Here is a 19,822-nt window from a genome sequence, read left to right as displayed (position 1 = left end):
TAAGTTCTAAATAATGTGTCATTCTAAGGAGTATGATGAAATATAAAGACATCATTTTCCATCTCACCCAGGTCATGAATCATTCCTTTGCATATGCTATCTGCCCATCAAAATGGTCTGTTTCTGAGTCCCAACCATCAACATTATCATGGCTCAATGATCCACCATCACATGAAGCAGATGATCCACCTTCTGATATGTAGTCAGATAGCCAGAAATAATTAGTAGCCTAACACCACATGACAACTCCTACCTCATTCACCTGACTTCATCTCATCACATAGGCATTATATCATCTCACAGTCATCACAAGAAAAAGAAGGGTGAGTACAATACAAGACACTTTGAGAGACCGTATTCACCTAACTTTGATTACAATGTATTATTATTGTTTTATTTTATCATGAGTTATTCTTAATTTCTTACTGTGCCAAATTTATAAATTAAACTATCATAAATATGCATATATAGAAAAAACATGTATATATAGGGTTTCATACTATTCACAGTTTCAGACATTCACCGGGTGTCTTAGAAAATACCCCCCATGGATAAGGGTGAATTACTGTACTTATTTGTGTGTGTTTGTTTATGTTTGTGTGAGAGAGAGACACAACACAGATCTCCACTCTCCACAAGAAGCAGATAAAAAAGACAACACTTTTCCTCACACTTTACTCTTAGGTTTTGACAATTCTGGAAAAATATTGGCATGTGTACTTACCAGTCTAGACAATTTTCCAGACCCTGGGTATGTTGGCTGCTTCAGTTACAAAAAGTTAGGTAGGATCTTGGGAGATTTTTTCTTCGACACCAGAAATATCAACCATATCAACAGTATACTTAACAACCCTAAAATAATTCTTTTGAACAGATTACCACTGAAGAACTTGTAAGTTAAATCTAATTGGCTTTTCAGTAATCTTACTGCTTGAAATTCTCACATTTAAAAGTAACTCCTCTCCTACTTTTCATTAGCCACTGCTCAATCTCCTTTACCAAGTCTTCTGACTCTGTGAAATGTTGATACTCCCAGGGTTTTGTCAATGGCTTTCTTCTTATTCTACATCTTCTGCATCATGGATAAGCTCATTGAGATCTATGGCTTTGCCTAATAATTATAATAAAATTATTCTAAGCCTACATCTCCAACCAGAGTTCTATCTCCAGCTAGAAATACGTATAAACCAATTACCTACAGAAAATATCCCACATGAATGTTTCATTGAACTCAATATGTAAAGAAAATGGTTGGTCTGTCCCATGACTATTTGCACTTCTCTGCTGACCTGACAATTTTCTTTTCTTTTCTTTTCTTTTCTTTTTTTTTTTTTTTTTTTTTTTTTGAGATGGAGTCTCGCTCTGTCACCCAGGCTGGAGTGCAGTGGTGAGATCTCGGCTCACTGCAACCTCCACCTCCTGGGTTCATGCCATTCTCCTGCCTCAGCCTCCTGAGTAGCTGGAACTACAGGCACCTACCACCACGCCCAGCTAATTTTTTGTATTTTTAGTAGAGACGGGGTTTCACCCGTGTTAGCCAGGATGGTCTCCATCTCCTGACCTCATGATCTGCCCACCTTGGCCTCCCAAAGTGCTAGGATTACAGGCACCATGCCCAGCCCTGACCTGACAATTTTCTACTCCTTCCCCATGAGCATTGTAAATGCTCATGCACAGTCTGTAAACTTAAGACCTGAGATTTTCTCTGTCCCCTAGCTTTTTAAACTCAATAATAACTAAACCATATTAACTGTACCTCTTTTCTGCCCTTGCTTTATCTTTCCAGTGACACTGGGAATACAAACTTATTATTTTATATTTATATTTCCTACTTAGACATGGCCCCTTAACTGATGGCTTTCACAGTGAAAAAGAAACCCTACCAATTACTATCGTTATTTTTTAAGTTAAAAAAAATTCAGTAAAACAAATCAAAATAAAATAATGGCAAAGAAAGACATACAGGTTTAAATCTGTAAATTGAGCTTCTGAACTTGATTCCTTTTACCCTGGAAGGGTCAAATTTTCATAATAGACTGATACTAGGCCACAGATTGGTGACAAAAAAAAAGACTATAGCATGAACTACTACAAAAGCTTACTTTGTCTTTAAATCTTTTTATGTAATTACCCTCCATCTATCTTCTATGTGAAGGGCCAGCAAACTGTGTATCACAGGCCAAATTCAGCTTACCAAATGGTTTTTTATACATAGTTTTCTTGGAGTGCAATCATGCCTATTTGCTCACACATTATCTATGGCTGCTTTCACTCTACAATGCAGAGTTCAATAGCTGTTATAGAGACACATGGCCTAACATATTTCTTTTTCTTTTTCTTTTTCTTTTTTTTTTTTCAGATGGAGTGTTGCTCTGTCACCCAGGCTGGAGTGCAATGGTGCGATCTCAGCTCACTGTAGCCTCCGCCTCCTGGGTTCAAGCAATTCTCCTCCCTCAGCCTCCCAAGTAGCTGGGATTACAGGCACGTGCCACCAAGCCTGGCTATTTTGCATATTTTTAGTAGAGATGGGGCTTCACCATATTGGCCAAGCTGTTCTCGAACGAACTCCTAACCTCACGATCCACATGCCTCAGCCTCCCAAACTGCTGGGATTATAGGCGTGAGCCACCACACCCAGCGGTCTAACATATTTCCTATCTGGCACTTTACAGGAAAAGTTTGCCAATCTCTGCCTTATACCACGACCAGAATGCCCTGATGCTCAGATCCAATCTTGTGACTCCCCTGCTCAAACCTTTCCAATGAATCCCTGCAGAAAACATTACTGGCTTCCTATGCCTAGTCATTATTTATTCTTTTTTTGCTGCAGAAACACAAGTTTATTTAGATATTCATTATTCCATTACCCCCATTCCATCTCAAAAATAGAAATCATTCTTCTAAGCTAATCACAGTAATTACATTTGCTTTCCTAGTGACTGGCTTAGAAATGAGCATGTGGTATAATCCAGCCAACAAAATGTTACAGGAAGATTATTGCAAGCTTCCAAGTTTTCTCTCTATTTAAAAGAAAAATGTGAACAAAGCAGCCCTTCCAGCCTTTAAATATTGTCTTGAGAGAGCATGATGATTGGAGCTGTTGCTAATTAGCCAACCAAAAGTGGGATCCTGACTGGGCGCAGTAGCTCACACCTGAATTCCCAGCACTTTTGGAGGCCAAGGCGGGGCTATCACGAGGTCAGGAGTTGGAGTTTGGCCAATATAGTGGAACCCTGTCTCTACTAAAAATACAAAAAATCAGCCAGGTGTGGTGGTGGGTGCCTGTAATCCCAGCTACTTGGGAGGCTGAGGCAGGAGAATTGCATGAACCCAGGAGACGCAGGTTGCAGTGAGCCGAGATCGCTCGCGCCATTGCACTCCAGCCCAGGCAACAGTGCGAGACTCCATCTCAAAAACTAAATAAATAAAATAAAATAAAAAATACAAAAGGGATCCTATGATATCCCTGTACTACCAAAACAACTTTGGTTCCTATGATTTTAGCCACTGTTAGTTAGTTCATCTAGTATTTACAACCAGAAGTATTGTGAGAATTTTTCCAGGGCCTACAGAATAAGATCTATTTATTTCTACACTATTAAAAAGTGTTGCCTAAGCTTGCCTTATTTAGATATTCAAGACATTCCCAACAACTCCCATATCACACTTTTTTCACTAGGGAACCCAAAGTGCCAATAAACCCTGCAAAGTTCACTCAAGCATCTTACCATTTGTACTTGCTTTTGTAGATGTTTCTTTTGTAGGACATGCAATCATATTAGATGTTCCTTTTTCCAAAACTTCAGTTTTATTAGGTGTTACTCCTGCCACGCATTCAGTCTTTACAGATGTTTCTTTTTCCTCCCATGTGATCTTCCTAGATCTTTCTTTTGCTGGCCATGAAAATTTCTCAGATGTTTCTTTTGTAGGCCTCAAAATTTTCCTAGGTGTTTCTTCTGTTGACTGTTCAAACTTTCCAGATGTTGCTTTCCCCAGACATTGAATTTTGGCAGACGTTCCCTCCACCAAGCGTGCAGCCTCGTCAGGTGTTTTTTCCAGCAAGCTTTCAGCCGTGTCAGGTGTTCTTTCCGCCAAGGGTGCAGCCTCATCAGGTGTTCCTGTAGATGTTCCTTCTGCCAAACACACAATCTGGTTAAATTTTCTTTCTGCTTAAATATCATCCTCCTGACTTCACCTGGCAAACTTCTACTTATTCTGTATGCTTTCCTTAAATATTACCAAACTTTTCTTTTCTCTCTTCTCTTTTTTTTGATGGAGTCTTGCTCTGTTACCCAGGCTAGAGTGCAGTGGCATGATCTCAGCTCAATGCAATTCAAGCGATTCTCCTACCTCAAGCGACTCTCCTACCTCAGTCTCCCAAGTAGCTGGGATTACAGGCACAGGCCACATCACCTGGCTAATTTTTTGTATTTAGTAGAGACGAGTTTCACCATGTTAGTCAGGCTAGTCTCAAATTCCTGAGCTCAAGCAATTCATCTGCCTTGGCCTCCCAAAGTGCTAGGATTATAGGAGTGAACCACTGTGCCTGGACACTACCAAACATTTTAAAGCTTTAATTCTTCACCTTGGATATAAAATTTCTGACACATGCTGAATATGGTAATGGCATGACATAGTAAGTAATAATTATAAGCTCCAAAAGGGGTTCTGGCACAGAGTAAACACTAAATAAAGTAATAAATAATAAAAAAGATAATAATAATAAGAAAAATGCTTAGTATCTTAATAAAGAAGCAAATAAAAAATGACAATGATAATAACAAGGAAGATACTTAGTACCTTAAAGATACCTGACAGTTATTTGTTAAGTGGACAAGCAGATAAATGAATAAAAAACATTTTTAAGGAAATTCTGTTGGAAAAATGCAGAAATTCAATAGGCACAGCTCTTCTGTATTATGAGCACCTTAAAGACCCAAACTATGTGTATTCCATCTTTGTCTCCTGCAACTTGCCAAACCTAACTTATAGAGGTCCTTTGATAAATATATAATAAAGATGTGCTCATACAGTTCATATTGTACAATGCATTGTGTCACATTTAGGTATCACAGTAGCATTTTCATTATTGTGAAAAGTTTTTGTAATTTTTTTATAATTTTTTGTGTTTAGAGTTAAGCTATTTGAATATTTATAATGATAATATTTTGGCTATTAGAGTATCTTGCTGTAACAAAATTACTATTAACACACTAATTATCCAGTAGATAGAACAACATACCTTGCTCTAATGAAGTAAATATATCTTATTTGGTTTCAACTTAGACGGAATGAAGTTGATAATAGTGAGACCTTGTTGGTACAAGACTACGTAACATAACCTGCGCTTCTCAACAAAGAATTGCTTTTCTGACTTCTGCACTCAGTAGGTATCTTTGAAAGATAATCTCCTATTGGTACTGATGCACCCTGGCTAAGTTTTGTAATTCTTGCTGACATTTGTTTATGGTGCCAGAAAAGTATTATTAAATTCCAAATTCTAAAGATAGTTACTTTTTTAGTGACACAAGTCACTTTGTCACACAGTTGATCCTTGAATAAGGGTTTTCACTCTAGGAGCCCACTAATAGATTTTTCTTTTCCTTTCCCACTGCAAGATGGCAAGACAAATCTCTCCTCTGCCTTCTCCTTATCAGACTACTCAACATGAAGGCAGTAAGAATGAAGACCTTTATGTATAATAATTGACTTCCACTTAATAAATAGTGAATATATTTTTTCCTCCTTATAACAGTTTCTTTCCTCCAGCTCACTTTATTGTAAGAATACCGTATATAGTACATATAAAATAGAAACTATGTGTTTAATTGACTGTTTATGCTTTCAATAAGGCTCCAGGTCAACAGTGGAATATTAGCAAAGTTTTGGAGGAGTCAAAAGAAACAGATTTTCATATGAAGCAGATTTTCAGCTGCATGGGGGATCAGCACCCTAACTCTCATATTGCTCAAGATTCAACTGTAATTAACTCTCATTTACTAAATGCAAACCATTTATTGTAAAAATTAAATAAAGCCCAGAAGTTCAATACCAGCCTGGGCAACATAAGAAGACCCTGTCTCTACAATAAATAAATAAATAAATAAAACCATGTTTCTTCATAGCTTATTGTGTGAGTTCATCAGGCTTGTGGGAAACATTTTAAGATGACATTATAGGACATAGACACAAATCTCCTTGGAAGGCCAGAAGGTTTTGTAAAAGTCTCAAGATAGGGTTATGGCTGAAAGCAGTCTAATCCTTACCTTGAGTAAATAGCCTAAAGTGGGTACAAAGGAAAGTAGAGTAGTTTATCTAAATAGCTTGTTTACTCATGCAGTCTTAAGACTCCCCTTTGATCACCCATGGGCAGGATGGCTCTCCTGGGGTGGGGTGACCAGATTAATTACCCACAGGTATGTTGACTCAAAGCCTTTGTCATTAAAACTTTGCTAATAAATGCCCACAGGGCCAGCTTGCCAGGGTTGTGGCTGCTGACTCCTTACAGCACCTTCCTTGGTGTCTGTAATGGGCTCGGAACCCTTGCTGCTCTTTCACTGAATATGGGTGTCTGGGTATGTGTCTCATCCGTCATGCAGCCGGGATCTGCAGGATAGACCCCCGCAGGTTATAATATTCAAATGTTACAGTTTTCTGTTATTAATTCCTACTCTCCATTATTAGATGTTCAATTCTTTGTGGCTTGTAATTCAGGGCATGTAAACTAATTATCATTTGTAATAACATTTATTTATAAATATATTAATTCATTAAAGTGGATGACCTGATCATCCCCTGTTACTGAGCTCATCAATCACACCAAGGATTATACATTGTATAACAAGTCTAAGTTGTTATGACAATTGAGGAATCAAACAATATACAAACTTAAAAATTGTGTTACCTATATACACAAAATATTATATAGGATTTTAGGGACCATAATTAAATATTTTTTCAGATAATATTTTTTGAGATTATAAACTACCTACACCTAAATTCTTAACTAATTCTGAATAATAAATTTAAAAAATAAATCAAAGCTATGTATACATATATATACACACACACACCCACATATATGTATATATGTAAACACATGCTATTTGCACATTGCTTTTTGAATTGCTTTTTTGTGATCAGCACTTCCCTAATCTTATGGTAGCACCATCAAGAGTAGTTTGCTATCCGAAGTCTTACCTGGATTGGTATTTTGAGGATTTTTAGGTAATTTTCGTATATGTTCCAAAAGTTGTTGATGAATGCTATGTATAAAAATGTAATAAATAAAATTACTATTTTAACAAGATATAAAAAACATTTACCAAATTTATTAAGTTCTTAGAGTATTTCAGACAATATCAGAGCTAACATCAGAATGTTACTTATTTCACAGACTTTAAGTTTGTAAGCTCTATGAACTTATTAAGCTTCTAATTAAATAATAAATAAAGTAAGATGAAATACTCATGAATTGAGGGCAGTATAACTCAGTAAATTAACTAGAGTTAGCTTGGCTTAATGGAAAATGTCCCTAACTCAGAAAAAGTCCTAGCGCAGTTACCAACAGGTATTTTTTCTTGAACAAGTTGCTTCTCTTAGGCTCAATGTCTTCTAAAAATGAGGATTTTAGAGACTTATTTCACTAGGTTATTACAAAGATTTAACAAGATAACATTTTTAAAATGCTCAAAGAAATAGTGAAGCAATGAAATAATTTATTCTTGAATCTTATTGCTGAAACTATTTTAAAATTCCCAATAAAACCCAATGTGTTGGCCTGGTGCAATGGCTCATGCCTGTGATGCAAGCACTTTAGGATGCTGAGACAGGGGGATTGCTTGAGCCCAGAAGTTCAAGACCAGCTTGGGCAACACAGGGAGACCCTGTCTCTACAAAAAATAAATTTAATTTTTTTAAAAAAAGTGTTTCTTCATAGGTTGTAATGTTGAAATGTTGCAGTTTTCTGTTATTAATTCCTACTTTTGGTTATTAGATGCTCTATTCTTTGTGGCTTGTAATTCAAGGCATCTAAGCTATTTTATAATTTGTAATGAAATTTATTTGTAAATATATTAATTCATTACATTGGATAACCTGATTATCCTCTATTACCGACCTCATCAATCACACCAAGGGCAGAAAACTAACAGATCTCAGCACCTGGCTTGGACTACTACTACTGTTTATCTACCTCCTTAAACCTGAATCAACAAATCTTTGTTAGAATGATGCTTAAGTCACGATGTTCATTTCCAGCTGCTGTGGAACACAAAACCCTACCTTTATTTTTTGTAAGTTCCACAAACAAGATGCAAGTTGGTATTTTCTCATTTCTGAGAGGCCTACTAACAACATATTGCACACAAGATCCTATGTGTTACCACATCTCATTTCATAGATCACCTTACATAAATATTTTTTGTATGAAAATCACAAGTGCAATCCTGGGAGTCACCCATTTTGCTTTGACTCACACCATTTCCTTGGAGCTAGTTAGTCAAATGTCCTTTTGGGGACTGCAAGAAATATGCAACACTTCACAGATTTGTGTGTCATCCTTGTGCAGGGACCTTGCTAACCTTCTTGACATTGTTTCAATTTTAGTATATGTACCCCTGACACCAGCACAAATCCCTACTTTTATATGTGAAGACTGATCAGTGATGGATGAGGCTTAGCTCTGTTAAATCTAAGCAACTTACTTGAGATAGAGTGAAGTCTATTGAATGCCTTCATGGTAATGCAGAATTTGAAAAGATTTTAAAAACTCGAGGTAAAGATGCAAGTAACATGGAAGATTTTTACTTTCAGGAAAAGGGAATCACTTGAGGGAACAACCACAAGTTGGAACCCACTACAACTTTGGAAAGATGACATGGGATTTTACAGAATAAGATGAGACCTTCCACTACCTATAAAATGGTGCTACACGGGATATAAAGTGCCAGGAATATAGATCTGGTAACAAAATAAAAATGGATCTCTAATTTCTTCCTGTAACAGTATTTCAACCTGTCGTACAGTCTTAAACTTTCACAACTAATATTTGCTAGAGAAAATAGAAAAAGTCACTCAAATGATAACTTATCATGAAGGTCTAGGCCAAGTCCGGGCTAAGATGTGGGTTTCACATCAGGTTTTGAGTGGGAGGAGAATGGTCAATTTGCTCACTATGTGTGTGGCAAAAGATAAAAGTCCTAGCTGCCAGAGCAGGGTGCTGGTACTTTGGAAACAATGGCTGAGAATATGTATGTGAACTTTAAAAAACTGTAATGACTTTGAAGTCTATATATGGATCACCATGAAAACTGAGGGATCTGTGTTAGTAAGGGCATCCTGGTCACAAAGGTCAATCATTACCAGACTGCAGGGGCAGTTTCAATGGCAACGGCGCAGCAACAGAATCAATGGAAACAACAAAAAGAAGAGAATGGCCGTGTCCCCCCAAATCCTTCTGACTTATGCAAAATGAATGTCTTCCTTGGACTTAAGGAACCCCTTAGATTCCTTTTAAAAATTCAAGTATTAAGGTATGGAAGACAGCCCCCAGGGGACATTATCAGGTTTTCTGCCGAAGTGGACATTTCCAGACCCAAATAACTAATTAGAAAAATCAAAATTGTGACACTGTGTTTATCCCGAGCCTAGGGGTTATACTTCAAATCAAGCAGTCAACATTAGGATCCCTAGGGATAAAGCTGTTGAAAGTCCTAAAATAAAGAATCCTGGACCCAGTACTCCTTCTAACTAGTCTGGCTTTTTGCCTAGTTTCTGGCTGATGAAGTGAACTAAGTCACTGTCTTTCAAAAACTCCCTGAAACAAACAATAAAATTTCACCTAGCCTTTAAATGTAAACACTTACTAATTAACTCCACAAGCAGCAGCATAACGTTCTGCAGTTATTCCATGTATGTCTTCAGCAAAGACGTCAACATTTTGCTGAAGAAGCATGCCGACTATCTCTGATGAGCCTTCACATATGGCAAGCATGAGGGCTGTGCTAAAATAACAAAGAGATAACTTATTATGAGCAGAATCAATTTAATATGTGCCTATCAGTGTAGAATTAACCATTTACATGTACTAACAAACATAAGTATCTTGAGTGCTCAAGTGTTTATCCTTGCAAATCACCACCAAATCTAAAAGGAAGGGGCAAAAAGACTCATGTCCCACTGGGGTGTGGCATACTAGAATTGGCTAACATAAAGTCCCTTGAGGGGCAAGGAATTATGATTTGTTCACTAACCTAAAAGAGGCAAAGATTTAAGGGAAGAATTATCTATTTCTTGCTTAGTCTGATATAATATTTTATACTTAAAAATCAGCTAGAAGTCAGACAAGAGAGAGCAATCTGAAGGCTTAAAACAATATTAGGAATAATGATATTAGTAGTAGTCATAGTAAGTTTAGTTAATGATGTTGATAAGAATGTATGAGACACTGAATTAAATGCTGTTGATATTTATAATGTTACTTCAACACAATCATCCTTAAAGCACATATCATTATTCTCCTTTTCACATAGAAAGTCATACTCGGTATTATGTAATGTTTGCAAGGTCACACCTATCAAGTGAGGAAGCTAGAAATTAAACTCAGTCTTGTGTGAATCAAAAGCCTATCTCTTTTCTCTTTATCATTCACCTATGGCTTATCTTAATTAACTAAAATATTAATCAAATTAAAGATGTCTTTCTTCCCTCTACCCATACAAATTAAAAATAAAAATACACTATGAAAAAAATGAAAAAAATAATAAATTCACAGTATCTGGTGATAGCAATTAATAGTCAGTCACATAGGGATAACCTAAAATTAATATGCTTCAAAGAAAACAACTTTATTAAAGCAAATAGTCGTCCTAAAGACAAAATGGTTTTAAACTCCTGTTTCTATTTAATATTGCTTTTTTTTTCCTTTGAGACAGAATCTCGCTCTATTACCCAGGCTGGAGTGTGGTAGCATGATCTCAGCTCACTGCAACCTCTGCCTTCTGGGTTCAAGCGATTCTCGTGCCTCAGTCCCCTGAGTAGCTGGGACTACAGGCATGCGCCACCATGGCAGTAATTTTTGTATTTTTAGTAGAGATGCGGTTTTACCATATTGGCTAGGCTGGTCTCAAACTCCTGGCCTCAAGTGATCCAACCACCTTGGCCTCCCAAACTGCTGGGATAACAGGCAACAACTACCATGCCCAGCAAATATTGCATTTTTTAAAAAGTGTATAAGGTGTAAAAATTAATTCAGGATGGATTAAAGACTTACATGTTAGACCTAAAACCATAAAAACTCTAGAAGAAAACCTAGGCAATACCATTCAGGACATAGGCATGGGCAAGGACTTCACATCTAAAACACCAAAAGCAATGGCAACAAAAGCCAAAATTGACAAATGGGATCTAATTAAACTAAAGAGCTTCTGCACAGCAAAAGAAACTACCATCAGAGTGAACAGGCAACCTACAGAATGGGAGAAAATTTTTGCAACCTACTCATCTAACAAAGGGCTAATATCCAGAATCTACAATGAACTCAAACAAATTTACAAGAAAAAAACAAACAACCCCATCAAAAAGTGGGCAAAGGGTATGAACAGACACTTCTCAAAAGAAGACATTTATGCAGCCAAAAGACACATGAAAAAATGCTCACCATCACTGGCCATCAGAGAAATGCAAATCAAAACCACAATGAGATACCATCTCACACTAGTTAGAATGGCGATCATTAAAAAGTCAGGAAACAACAGGTGCTGGAGAGGATGTGGAGAAATAGGAACACTTTTACACTGTTGGTGGGAATGTAAACTAGTTCAACCATTGTGGAAGTCGGTGTGGCGATTCCTCAGGGATCTAGAACTAGAAATACCATTTGACCCAGCCATCCCATTACTGGGTATATACCCAAAGGACTCTAAATCATGCTGCTATAAAGACACATGCACACGTATGTTTATTGTGGCACTATTCACAATAGCAAAGACTTGGAACCAACCCAAATGTCCAACAATGATAGACTGGATTAAGAAAATGTGGCACATATACACCATGGAATACTATGCAGCCATAAAAAATGATGAGTTCATGTCCTTTGTAGGAACATGGATGAAGCTGGAAACTATCATTCTCAGCAAACTATCGCAAGGACAAAAAACCAAACACCACATGTTCTCACTCATAGGTGGGAAGTGAACAGTGAGAACACATGGACACAGGAAGGGGAACATCACACACCAGGGACTGTTGAGGGGTGAGGGGAAGGAAGGGGGAGGGATAGCATTAGGAGATATACCTAATGCTAAATGACGAGTTAATGGGTGCAGCCCACCAACATGGCACACGTATACATATGTAACAAACCTGCACAATGTGCACATGTACCCTAAAACTTAAAAGTATAATAATAATAAAAAAAGAAATTAAAAAAGTGTATAAAAAAGAGAAGTTAGAAAAATACTATAAAACTGTTAATAATTCAATATTGAATTATAAAGCAAACTAAAAAAGTTCATACTTCTTAAAACTGATGCAGAACCACTTTAGCTAATAGAAAATAATGCAACCAAAATCATCAGATTACAAATAAGAATCAGTCAATATAATAAGAGAAGATAAGTCCTACTATACACTGTTTTTTATGTTGACCAGTCCAAATAATTGCTTTTCTTCTGATAATTTGTGTTGATATGTTTCACTATAATCTAATAATTTTAACTAAATGTTGTTAATTTAATATTTCTGACTTGAGCATTATTACTCTAGAACACTAGTCAAGTGTTTTTTAGTAAAAAAAAAGAACTACCATACCATTTAGACTCATTAAATGCGTTTGCATTTGCATTTTTTGTTAGTAAAAATTCCACAGTTTGCTTGCTTCTTTTCTGTATGGCCAGTAAAAGGGGTGTGAGGCTAGCCTGTAAAATAGCAGAACAATATATAATTCATGAAATTACATATTTCTCAGCTGAACTGAATACCTTATATTATATCCTATTAACTTAAACACATAAAGTAGAAAGTAAATAAGTAAATCAATAGCAGTCCCTTCTTTCTCCTTTTTCTGTGCTTTCCCATGCACTGCACCTTCCCTTGTAAATATTCAGCCTCTGCATCACCACATTAATTCTGGTTATCTCCAAAAATCATTATATTGTAATGATTTTATGGTTTCCCATCTAAACCAAGAGCTTCATGAGGGCAAGGGCTGTATCTTTTATCTCTATATCCTTAAACCCTAAGACATAGTAGTAAATACTTTGTTTTTGACTAAATGAGTAATCTATAATATTACCTCTAGAGCAGTGTTTCTTAAACTATATTCCAAAGAATAATTACCTTACCAGAAGCACTGTACCCCAACAGATTCCACCATTATCTATGTTCAAGAAATATTATAAAACTGTGAACTAAATGTCCATTATTCAATAAATGACTTGAACTTTGCCTAATACTTACTTGACAATATATTTTTGTGGCAGAGATTAACATTTGACAAATTAGAATTTCAGGCATACAGTTTTGAAAGCTTCCCAAGAAAAATGGAGGTTTCCTGTAGGTGATACAAACTCTCTTGATTCTATTCTATCAATAATCCCAAGATCCCAGATGCCAATGTCAGGCACTCCTGCTCTAAATGGGTCACTAAGGAAGTGGCTCTAAATCAAAAGAGATTGGCTTCAAATGAACTTTGACTGCTTATTATTAAATGGTCCATGAGGTTTCTCCTATTACAAGACAATAGAATTTTTTCTCGGCTATTAGAAATTCAGTATAAAAGTTTATTCTCAATTATAATGATAATCCTAGGATCCTAATGCATATCTACTTCTTTAAATGCAATAATCCATTTTTATTCTGGTTGCTATTGTAATTGCTACTTAATTTTTGGAAAAATATCAAAAATATGAATAAAATGGCTTACTAATGAAAGTTCTAACTCATCTATGTGGATTAGCATAACAGAAGCCCCTAAATCACTTGAATTTTAAGGGACAATTCTAAGAAGAAGGATATAATATTTTCTGCAATATGCATAACCTATTCAAATACAACCAAAATTAATCTAAAAAGGCTTAAAGGCATTCTAATAAAAGATTATTATTTATGGTTTATATACAGAAAAATCATTGTTTAAAAAGTCTTCGAAATTCTAGAAGTCAACCCCAGTATTAATGAATTAATGTAAAATATAAACTATATATTATAAACAGCTATCAACTGTCTTGAATACCTTGAAACCTTTACCAAAATATACTATGAGAGAGGAATTGATAACTGAAATATTTACAGAGGCAAAAGAGGTAAGTTCAGTAAGTGATGTAACTAGGTGGGCACAGTGGCAAACTGGAAACATGCTTTGTGTAAAGCTAGAACGTTCTCTTAGCATACCAAACAGTCATATGTGCTCAAGAGACACCAGATGCAATCCTTTAAGAGGAAATCCAGATTTCTGCACGTATCCTAAATTTTACATGTTGACTCAATTTACACAGGCAAATTTTGCTTTCCTGTAGTTTTACACTAATTGGAAAGAAAAAAAAACCTTGGGTAGGAAAGAATATTTGAAAAAGTTTTACCTTTAACAAATTCAAATATTTATCATAAATGCACAGAAAAGCCATACTCTCTAATAGTTCTTTTAAAAAATTAATATTTAAGGTTAAATCTTAGATAATTAAGTTCTTTCAAATTATTTTCACTCAAGGAATGTTTGTGTTTCCAAATATAAAAGCCTTACATATGTTAACATTAAAACAAATGGATTTCAAATATTTTGAAAATAACATTGGTTAATGTCTACCTTGTTTTGCACCTCGATGACTGCACCATAGGACAGCAGTGTTGCCACCATTAACAAATTCTCACTATAAACGGCATAATGGAGAGCCGTGTTGCCATACACATCTACATAATTTAGATCAGCACCAGCATCTATGAGAATATTTGCACAAGCCTCCCTCTCGCATTGTAGAGCCTGTCAGTATTAAAGCAAGAAGTACATTATAAATTATAGGAAATCAAAATAAGTATTCCACAGGTTTCACAAACTAGTTGTATTTCAACTAAATTCATTTTTATTCTATGTATTTAAACCAAATCCATCTCCCGCTGAAAAAACTGGCTACTATTTACCTTCATCAGAGGTGTCCTCCCTTCGCCATCAAGGACATTAAGCTGGCACTTTCTGTCTACCAGAAATGTTACTACTTCTGCATGGCCATTGACACAGGCCCAGTGTAGAGCAGTCCTACGAGAGTGAGAGGACTTTTAGGCAAAGTATAGCCCACTGTCTCAAAACATACAACGATTTAGGTAATTGTAAACATTAAATACCATGCTCTTTCTCTACCTTCAAAACAAATATTTAATATTCTCCTGAAGAAAGTACAACATTCGTTCTCTTATTACTCACCGCATTAATGAAAGAGTGGCCTGTTTGAATACAAAGAGCTTGGCCTTTGGATTCAGTTCAACTTGAGCTTGAATATTACTTTAAGGTCTTTCACTTTCTAGCTGTCACTTAAACTTTCTGCACCTCGCTTTTCTCATCAATAAAATGGAGATGAATACAGCCGTTATCTCACAGGACATCACTGTGATGCCTCATTGAGAATCTATGCAAAGTATTTTGGAGAGTTCCTAGTACATGTAACAGCTAAGTAATTGTTAGATATTATAATTATTACTACTACTTAATAAAGAAAACATTTTAAGTAAAATGGTGCAATTATGCCTACTTCGTGGTGTGTTTTAAAGGTTAGAGATAACACAGTATTTTAATGATTCTAAGATGCTCAATTGCTCATATTTTAACATCTCTGACATTGAAATGCCATTTATAATTCATTATTTATTACAACTATATTTGGCAGAAATTTAAACAATCTTTAATTGGTGCATAAAATAAAGAGGCATCACACAATTCACAGTGTCTTCCAAGAAGTGGAATACGGTATATACAACAGGACGATGGCAGTCCTAGTCACAGGATTAACACTGAAAGAAATTTTAGCTTTTTAGAGGACTACACAATAGGAGAGTTGAAATAAAAACAACAAATTGTTAAAACAAACTACTTCCTCAAGATTTTAAAAACTTCAAGCCAAAGAAAACTTTGGTTTCAAATAAATAGGTATGGCTCATTTTATTCCCTATTTAGATTTACAGAATGTATGGAAATTCATATTTAGATTTATAGAATGCATGTAAATTAGGTATTTTTGATGATTAATATTACTATTTAGAGCTGTTATAAATTTCCAAAACCTGGTTGGTAGTTATCTTTTACTCGTTTCTCACTTCAGAAGTGTTTTTGTTTGAAACATGAGAGGAAAAGCTTAATTGAGATTCAGTCCTAATACTCCAATTTTAAATCTCTCACTTTGCTCAGGCTGAGCAGGTAAACATGAAATTTTTAAGGATGAAAAGGTCTTGAGAGTTAATAGAATGTATCTTCTACATAATAGGCATCCAGCTTACATGTGATAAATGGATTAAAAGAATGGATAAATACAGTTGGGAAGTACAGTATCTTAAAAAACTGCTATAAATAAAACACTTATATTTGTCATTTTATTTTTCTAATAATAAAACTACACTAAAATGATTAATCTATAGTTATTGACATATATGTAATAAGCCTATATATAATAAAAATGTGTTTAATAAAATGTATATGTAAATCAATAAGCAGAGATAAAAATATTCTCTTCTGAAGATGCTAAAAGTTCACAGAATATACAAATGCACAAAAAAATAAAATATAGAAAGTGAGAAATTATTTTCATCTGTGCAAAATACATATTGCTGCTCCTCCCAAAAATTATTTCATTAATAATAAACTTTTACTAATAGCATCGTACATGCTCAATGCAGAAATCAAAGATAAAAAAAGGAAAAACATTTTATATTAAAACAAGTATCCTCAAATAGCAAATGTTATCAAATTTTGGACATAATTTCAGATAACACAAGACCATAGTCTGTATGTATAATCAAACTGAATTTTACCCTCACTTGGTACACCAAAATACATTTTCAAATGTCAACATACTTCCGTATATGTTTCTACCTTGAGTGGTCACATATTATCCCATGCTGTAAACTCACTGAAATGTATTTATAAAAGCCATTAAATGGATTCTTTTTAATACATTGATATTTTAAGCAGTGCTCAGAAAAGAAATTGTGTGTATGTTGCATTATTTTCTAAAAATATTTTAGTATAATAGAATGGATCACTAATGGGCATATACAATTTTTTAAATATGGTACTTACCATCAAATTGTTTATTTGAAAACTCATCTGCAACTTACACTTTAAGGAGTACTATAAATATCACTGCTTTTTATCCTCACAAACTTTGTGGATAGAAAACAGTATTTGATTCCTCTTTTAACTTAAATGCCTTCTCTAACCAGGAACACTAATATTGTTTCCTGTGTGCATAGGTTACTTGCAGATCTTAAAAAAGGACTTTGCCCAGTTTTAAATTAGAGGCCAAGTACTTTTTTAGATCTGCAATTTAGATCTCTAACTTAAATTGCCCAATTTTAAATTAGAGGGTTTTCTGTTGATTTGAGTGAATTCTCTATAAAAGGAAGATTTTTAATTCTAATATGTATACACACACACACATACATGAGTAGTAAATATTTTACAAGTATGCTGCCTTTTATTTTTTCTCATATGCAGGGTGATTTAATTTTTGTTTTACTAAATTACTCTTCAGAATGCTTGCTTCTGAGCTTCTTAGAAAGGTTTTGTCAACATAAAAATGTATCTGTGTAAATAGGCATTTATGTTTTTTCTGGTATTTTTATCTTTTTGTATATTAAAAATTTTTAATCTATATTCCATCAGGAACTTATTTTGTGCCATAAAAATCTAGTTTTCTCCAAAAAGCAGGCATTTCACTTATGAAACTAATTCTTTTCCTAATAATTCATATTCCTAAAAGAATTATGAAACTAATTCTTTTCCACAAGGATAATGATCCTTGTGATCATTATCAAGTTCTAAATTCTTACATATGTTTGGGTGTTTCTGGATTTTCTATTCTGTTGTATTCATTTACCTGTCTTTTCAGCTGTTAGCAAACAATCTGTGATTTTTTTTTTTTTTTTTTTTTTTTTTTTTTTTGAGACAGAGTCTCACTCTGTCACCTAGGCTGGATTGCAATGGTGGGATCTCGGCTCACTGCAACCTCCACCTACCAGGTTGAAGCAATTCTCCCGCCTCAGCCTCCCAAGTAGCTGGGATTACAGGCACCCGACATCAGGCCCAGCTAATTTTTGTATTTTTGTAGAGACGGTGTTTCACCATATTGGCCAGGCTGGTCTTGAACTCCTGACCTCAGATGATCCACCCGCCTCGGCCGCCCAAAGTGCTGGGATTACAGGCGTGAGCCACCGCTCCTGGCCCATTTTGTGCAAATTAATAGCGCATTTTGATATCTAGAAGGGCAAGACTTTTCTACTCCATTACAAAATATTTAAAATGTCATCACAACAGTAAAAGCCTGTGTAATTTAAAAAATGTTAAAACGTTAATAGCTTTATTTGGTTTATGTAAAACTGGTAAGTCGCATCTTGAGAAAAATGAGTCTTCTTAAATTCAAGAACATAAACTATCTTCCCACCTCGAAGTTTCCTTCTAAGGTCCCTCAGCAAAGAACATATTTACATAGACATTCATTGATATCAAAATGGACATTGGACTTTATCCAAAGAATTTTTAGCCAAGAAGGTCATATATTATGGGAATTAGTTCATTATGCACCATTTCATAGTGTATCTAACATTATCTTTTAAAACCTGTACATTAAAAGTAAAACCCTGTATGTACTTAATTTTGTGAGTTTAATCACTTTAAAATTTTCTACAGAGTGCTTTGTGAGGGGAAGTGGGAGTGAAGGAGAAAGCAGCTAAAGCTTGGGGTTGATTTTAAGGTGGCCTGTGCCCTCTGCCCTGCAGGGCGCCCCCATCCCAGGCCTGGGGGGCCTGACCGGGAAGAAGGCCAAGACCTCGGGGCCCAGGACGGCCGCCCCATCGCCCGCCACTCCTCCACCTGCTCCCCTCGTCCCCAGGACCCCCAGCCACCACTCTGAAGGGGCGATCCTCCCACAGCCGCCTCCTCCTCCTGCAGCCCCGGCTCAGGCAGGGCCTGGTACCTCTTCTTCATATCTCTTTTGTTCAGGTTGACGGGCTTCTTCCCTACTGTCATCTTCTCCAGCTTCTGGACTTGGCCCCGGGAGGCAGCTGTATGGATCTTCCCTAGATCCCCGAAGTAGATGGTCCCGTAGTCCTTCTCAGTGTAGACCCGTTCGCTGAAGGGGTTCGGGGGCTCCGGGCCCCGCACGCCCTTGCCAGCGGCAGCTAAGAGCCTCTTCATGGCTGCAGCCCCCTGCTAGAGAGAGCCCGCGCCTCCCGCTCGCCCTTCCCCAGCCCCTACCCCTCGCCCTCGCTTCCCGCTTACCCTTCCCCAGCACCCGCCCCCGGCTCGCACTCGCCCGTCTTCAGTTCCCGCACCCGCCCCAACACCAGCAGAAATTTCTGTATCGCCAAGCTCTTGAACACTCCGGCCTCTGTCGGGAGAAATTCTGAGCAGAGCCGTTAGCTGCTCTAACGTTAGAGCGTTACAGCAGCAGCTCACGCGCAGCTCAGCAGGCTGAGGAGACACGCGCCCTGGCCGCGCTCCACCGGGCACCGCGTGCAGGTGGCACCGGCCGCTGAGGCGCTGCCGGGCTGGCGGGCCTCCCTGGAGCGGAACGTGTGGGGCTCCCTGCAACACGGCCTGCTTGACATAGCCGCCCCT

The 19,822-nt window shown here is 36.5% G+C and overlaps 1 protein-coding gene, 1 long non-coding RNA gene and 1 pseudogene across 13 annotated transcripts in view; 1 reads left to right on the top strand and 2 right to left on the bottom strand.

Annotated features, from left to right (window-relative positions):
• The window catches only part of ANKRD30B (ankyrin repeat domain 30B), a 192,964-nt gene extending 173,317 nt beyond the window's left edge, over positions 1-19,647 (bottom strand). For all 11 annotated transcript variants that reach the window (XR_007066151.1, XR_007066152.1, XR_935057.3 and 8 more), the window contains exons 1-7: positions 19,179-19,647; positions 15,139-15,253; positions 14,807-14,980; positions 12,814-12,920; positions 9,867-10,004; positions 7,201-7,265; positions 3,729-4,133 (exon numbers count right to left, since the gene is read on the bottom strand). Coding sequence is in view for 6 of the 11 variants with exons in the window: in NM_001367607.2 (NP_001354536.1) it covers positions 3,729-4,133; positions 7,201-7,265; positions 9,867-10,004; positions 12,814-12,920; positions 14,807-14,980; positions 15,139-15,253; positions 19,179-19,399 (1,225 nt within the window). In the remaining 5 variants the exon portion in view is untranslated. The remainder of the gene's footprint in view (positions 1-3,728; positions 4,134-7,200; positions 7,266-9,866; positions 10,005-12,813; positions 12,921-14,806; positions 14,981-15,138; positions 15,254-19,178) is intronic.
• On the top strand, positions 209-8,890 carry LOC105372008 (uncharacterized). Of its 2 annotated transcripts, none has more exons than XR_935181.3 (3): positions 209-323; positions 5,287-5,386; positions 8,815-8,890. It is a non-coding gene; the product is annotated as an uncharacterized LOC105372008 (long non-coding RNA). The 2 variants fall into 2 exon arrangements; XR_935179.3 differs by lacking the exon at positions 8,815-8,890 and adding an exon at positions 5,853-6,042.
• On the bottom strand, positions 8,525-8,631 carry RNU6-1210P (RNA, U6 small nuclear 1210, pseudogene; annotated as a pseudogene).
• Positions 19,648-19,822: the final 175 nt, after the last annotated feature.

This window comes from Homo sapiens, chromosome 18, assembly GCF_000001405.40.
Source record: "Homo sapiens chromosome 18, GRCh38.p14 Primary Assembly".
Lineage (NCBI taxonomy): Eukaryota > Metazoa > Chordata > Mammalia > Primates > Hominidae > Homo > Homo sapiens.
This window is presented reverse-complemented; position numbering and strand designations above follow the sequence as displayed.